At 42.6% G+C, this 5,980-nt stretch overlaps 1 long non-coding RNA gene across 1 annotated transcript; it reads right to left on the bottom strand.

Annotated features, from left to right (window-relative positions):
- Window positions 1-3,704: 3,704 nt before the first annotated feature.
- On the bottom strand, window positions 3,705-5,066 carry LOC124902322 (uncharacterized). The gene is made up of 2 exons (XR_007061891.1): window positions 5,028-5,066; window positions 3,705-4,241 (listed from the first exon to the last, which is right to left on the bottom strand). It is a non-coding gene; the product is annotated as an uncharacterized LOC124902322 (long non-coding RNA).
- Window positions 5,067-5,980: the final 914 nt, after the last annotated feature.

The following is a 5,980-nucleotide window of genomic DNA, read 5'->3' as shown; positions in this document are numbered from 1 at the left end:
TTATTTATTTATTTATTTATTTATTTATTTATTTTTGAGACAGAGTCTCGCTTTGTTGCCCAGGCTGGAGTGCAATGGTGTGGTCTCAGCTCACTGCAACTTCCTCCCGGGTTCAAGCCATTCTCCTGCCACAGTCTCCCAAGTAGCTGGGACTACAGGCATGCGCCACCACGGCTGGGTAATTTTTGTATTTTTAGTAGAGACAGGGTTTCACCATGTTGGCCAGACTGATCTCGAACTCCTGGCCTCAGGTGATCCGCCTGCCTCGGCCTCCCAAAGTGCTGGGATTACAGGTGTGAGACGCTGCGCCTGGCCTATTGTATAATATTTAAATGGAGACCTTTCCTCCCTCAGTTTTGGCTGAGTCTACAAAAGCTATGTACAATAGAGGAGGCATCAAAGGCCCAAACATCCTAGACAGAAGGATTAGAGTGCACATGCAGATTGCTGACTATATCAGAAGGTTATAAAAGTGTGGCCAGAACTAGCCTTTCACCCAGCATGAGGTTCTGGAAGAGCCAAGGAGGGGCACGGTGTTGAAGTTCTCTCGCATTTACCTACTGTCCCCAAGGGGAGAGGAGCATTTCTCTCTCTCATTTCCAACTATGTGAGAAGAGCGTTAAGGTGACAATTTAGAGAGTTGTCTTGTGTTCCATGGAGTTTGGGAAGCATAGGGACTGGTGTTGGAGTTTTGTCAGGAAAAGTCTAAGGCAGGAGGGCATGTGCAGATGAATCAGAGGTAGCAAAGCCAGGTCTAGAGAGAGCCACAGATTCACTGAGCCAGGGCAAAGGTCCATGTTTTCCACTGCCCAGGTGTGGACCCTGCAAAATGAAACTGGCCTGGGTTGTCTTAAAAAGTACTTTGTGCAAGAAAAATTCTGGAGAGTGGGCTGAGGGACTGATGCCAGAATGCCCCAACAGTAGGGGAGGAGTCGTAAGTGATCAGCTGTGGAAAAGGCATTTTCCGGTTGAGGGACCTGTAGGTAGAATCTCCCAGCAGAGGATCCCTGAGGAACCCACAAAGGCACCCCACAAAAGAGAATTCATTGTGGACATCCATCATTCTCAGAGAGTACCAGTGGCAAGTGACCAAGTGCCAGTCAGGACAGAACTCTTCGCATCTCATCTCCCTTCTCATTCTACCTGCTCCATTCCCGGAGAGCAGAGAAACTCCAGCACCACAGCTAGTGAGTGGGAGTGGAGATAGGAAATGGTCATGAAGCCAACCTACTCCACTGCTCTCATTATTGACCTTTGAGTCTGGATATAGCTGCACCAGGTCAGGGAAGGCAGAAGCTTTGACTGGGTAAGTTCAAAGTTTTGATGATCAACCTGGAGTGAACTGGGAGTTGTGAGATCATTAGAGTGCCTTGGACATTTTAATGCTGTAGTGAAGGAATTACTTGATTCTTTTCTAAGAGTGACCCCTGAAATGCTATAGGACAGGTCCAACATGTCATACAGTGTCAGTAAAGAATGGGTCAATGGCTACCCTGAGCATGGTGGCTCATGCCTATAATCCCAGCACCTTGAGAGGTTGAGGCAGGAGGATTGCTTAAGGCCAGAAGTTCAAGACTAGCCTGGGCAACATAGTGAGACCTTCTCTCTAGAATATATAAAAAAGCTGGGCATTGTGGCATGAGCCTGTATTCTTAGCTATTCAGGAGGCTGAGGCAGGAGGATTGTTTGAGCCCAGGAGTTCAAGGCTGCAGTGAGCTATGATGGTGCCACGGCATTCTAGCCTGGGCTATACAGTGAAACTCTGTCTCTTAAAAAAAAAAAAAAAGAAAAAGAGTGGGTAAATGGAGTAAGTTTAGAAGTGGTGAAAAAAACATTTAAATTAAGTTTGCTTTGTTACACATTATCAATGCCAATTGTTCAGTTAGTAATGACCAAAATAAGACAATTGTAATAGCTAAGAAAGCTCTTTCCCTCTTTCCATGTATTTGCTCTCTCATCCAATTTATCACTCATAGATTTGATAAATCATTTCTAGTAAAGTTGCAATAAGTTATCCCATGAGGCTAACCATTGGCATTGCCATGGCATTGTATTCTGATTGGGTTGTGAGCACAGGCTGCCAGGTGACAATGAATAAATTTCAGGGGACAGATGTTAAATTTGTGTAACATATTGATTACACACAGAGGTTGCTTGCTAGAGAAGGTACTTGTTGAATTATGAGATGCTATAACGAATGTTAGTACTAATGTTACTTTTCTTGTCATCATTGCCACCATCTGAATATAGTTTGAAATTAAGTATATAATGATTACAAATCAGGACATAGTTTTACAAACTCTCCATATCTTATTGTAAAGTAATATAATAAAGTGACTAAAATATACAATCTTGACTATTATTTTAGCTATTGCTATGGGGAGTACATAGCCATTTTAAATCAATTGCAGTATGAGTATTTGAGTATTATATTTCTATCTCCTAGGCAATAACATCTACTGCGGCAAGGATCACAGCTTTTATTTAATTACATGGGCCAAGTGTTCTGGGCATTCTCTGAAGATGTGAACAGGTGTTCTGTGTTTAAATGGAGACCCTCAGCTTCCAGTCTTATTCTGGCTTACCCAGCAAGTCACTTGTGCTTGTGTTCCTGTTGTCTTTCAAACATTTCAATATTCCCTTCTAGACAAACTACAATATTTAGTATTGTTTGAAGCCCCATTAAGAAGGGGGAACATTCTTCTTTAAGAAAACAGTATTACTGAATTTCAGAAGGGTGCTATTCAAAGACCATTCTTACACAAGTATAATATCAGAAAACATGATCTGAACAAATTGCTTTATTTATTTGGAAATATTGGTATATTTTGTTAATTTTCTAGTGTTTTGTCTTAGCACAGGTTCTCTCAAAAGCAGATACCAAGACAAGGACTCAGTTGAAGGAGATTATTTGAAAGTTAATCCCAGGAAACTCCAGAAGGGGAGTCAGAGCACCTATAAAGGACGGTAACCAAGTAAGGCTGAGTTACGGAGCCAGTTACTCCTGTGAGCCACTGGGGAGCTTAGGAAATCAGTGGAACGCACCTCAGGGTTATCTCAACCAGGGGTGAGGAAGCAGGGTATCCATCCATCAGTCATGTTAGGGGCTGCTTCCTGGGGCACTAACTCTGTGCAGTTCTGTCCTGTGATGTTCCAGGCTGAGTGGGCTCTCAGTCAGAGCAAAAGACGCTTGAGTCTTTTGCAGGTGTTTGCTTTAAACTTTAAAATTGTGGAGGGTATGGCCAGGGGAAATGGGCCAGACACTGACAGGATCTGCTACACTTGGGCTAATAAAAAATTGGTGAAATGGGGCCTGGTGCCTGCTAGAAATCACAAAACCATGTTAGTTTCAAGTCAATGTATCTTTTCTCGAGGTAGGTAGAATGGGCAAAGTTTACTTACAATGATAAAAATCACTGAGTGGATAGATCAGATGGATACTTTGTGAAGGCCATTAAACCTGCCCAGTGAAACATCACACAACACCAAATAAGGGAATAAAAGTGGCACAGCCAGAATCAGGGCTAAGCCAGAGGCAAGGAGTAGTCTTCTTAGTGCCTGAGTGGGTATGGATATGTGTGCATTAGCCTTACACTCAAAAGAGCTTGAAGAGTAGGACAGGTTTGAAGTCCCGTATTGAAGAACTTAGTGAAAATACACATCTCCTAATTTTAAATATATATTCAAGAATAGGACAAATTAGAAACACTTTGGAAGTTTTATTTTCCCCTCTATGATGACCTGCGAATTTGAATCTTGACCACCTTCACAAGCTAACAACGTCCACAAGCAATTGCTTTACTTCATTGCCAAGGTAACATCTAGAAATCTCCGTTCTGTCCTCTGAACAACTGTAGCGACCCAAGAATCTAATTTGGTGCCTCATAAATGATTGTGTTCCATCTCGACAGTTATTTTTAAATTCTACAATAACACCAGCTCACAGGATGTTGGCTTTTTCCTCCAGTATTTCTGCTGTTCCCCAGCTGTTTGAAATACGTTGTGGCTTTGACTTCTTCAAACTACCTCCTGTGATGAAGATTACCTTAATTGCTTGTTTGTAGAAGATTCAGTCAGAGACGTAATATGCTGTAACAATTATTAATAGGTGAAGGCTGACATTTTACATTCCTCGTTATTCTGTTAGCAGTTTCTTATGACTACTTTTTGGCTTTTTAAAAACATTTTGCCTTGAAGACAGAAGATCCTTTGAAGGTTTGTGATCACAATGCTGTCATCCCCTAAAAGGCCACATCATGGTCAGAGAAAAGGCTTATTTATTTCTGTCAAACAATATTCAACAACCATTTATTGAGCATCTATTATGTGCCACACACTTGTCCAAGGTGTAGGGGGATACCTATGTAAACGTATCAGATTAGACTTTGCCCCCTTGGTGCCTACATTCTAATGGAGGAAACAGAAAACAAGCATGCAAACAAATCAAGTGTGTGAAATAATTTAACATAATGACAATGCTATGAAGAAAAAGCAGAAACCATAAGCAACCAATGTTTTTTTGTGTGTTTGTTTTTTCTCCCCAGAGCCATTGTATGCACGTATATAAAGTCCAAATATATCCAGTATTCCCCTTTCTTATGCAAACATTTTGGCATACTGTACCATACATCCGTTTTTACTACCATCTCTTTTCTGCTTAGCCATATATCTCAGAGATCATTCCTTATCACTACTTAATGAAATTCTTCATTATTTCTTATATGGCTACAACATATTCCATTGTGCAGGGGTACATAGCTTATTTCACCAGACTTATTTGATAGATATTTAGATCATTTCTAGTCTTTTGCTCTCTCAGTCAATGCTGTAATGAATATCATTTTGCATACATCATTTTGCACATGCAAAGGTGTACCTGTCAGATAGCTAAGGTGTAACTGTCAGAGGTTAAATTGTTAGATCAAAAGTGTGTATATTTGTAATTTTAAGTGAATGCATTTTATGCTATAACTTTTATGAATAGGTAATATTGTGTCCGGAATTGGTGGGTTCTTGGTCTCACTGACTTGAAGAATGAAGCTGCGGACGCTCGCGCTGAGTGTTACAGTTCTTAAAGGCAGCACTCCGGAATTTGTTCCTTCTGATGGTCGGATGTGTTCAGAGTTTCTTTCCTCTGGTGGGTTCGTGGTCTCCTTGGCTCAGGAGTGAAGCTGCAGACTTTCGCGGTGAGTGTTACAGCTCTTAAGGCGGCGCGTCTGGAGTTGTTCCTTCCTTCCGGTGGGTTCGTGGTCTCCATGGCTTCAAGAGTGAAGCTGCAGACATTCACGGTGAGTGTTACAGCTCATAAAGGAAGTGTCGACCCCAAGAGTGAGCAGTAGCAAGATTTACAGCAAACAGCCAAAGAACACAGCCGGGAAGCCGAGCGGTTTGCCGCTGCTGGCTCCTGCAGCCTGCTTTTATTGTCTTATCTGGCCGCCCCCACCCCCCCACCCCCCCCACCCCCCCCACCCCCACATCCCCCACATCCTGCTGATTGGTCCATTTTACAGAGAGCCGATTGGTCTGTTTTACAGAGAGCTGATTGGTCTGTTTTGACAGGGTGCTGATTGGTGCATTTACAATCCCTGAGCTAGACACAAAAGTTCTGCACGTCTTCACTAGATTAGCTGGATACAGAGTGCTGATTGGTGTATTTACAAACCCTGAGCTGGACACAGAGTGCTGCTTGGTGCATTTACAAACCGTGAGCTAGATACAGAGTACCAATTGGTGTATTCACAATCTCTTAGCTAGACATAAAGATTCTCCAAGTCCCCACCAGATTAGCTAGATACAGAGCCCCGATTGGTGCATCCACAAACCCTGAGCTAGACACAGGGTGCTGATTGGTGTGTTTACAAACCTTGCGCTAGATACAGAGTGCTGATTGGTGTATTTTCAATCCCTTAGCTAGACATAAAGGTTCTCCAAGTCCCCACTAGACTCAGGACCCCAGCTGGCTTCACCCAGTGGATCCCCC

This window comes from Homo sapiens, chromosome 9 (assembly GCF_000001405.40).
Source record: "Homo sapiens chromosome 9, GRCh38.p14 Primary Assembly".
Classification (NCBI taxonomy): Eukaryota; Metazoa; Chordata; class Mammalia; order Primates; family Hominidae; genus Homo; species Homo sapiens.
This window is presented reverse-complemented; position numbering and strand designations above follow the sequence as displayed.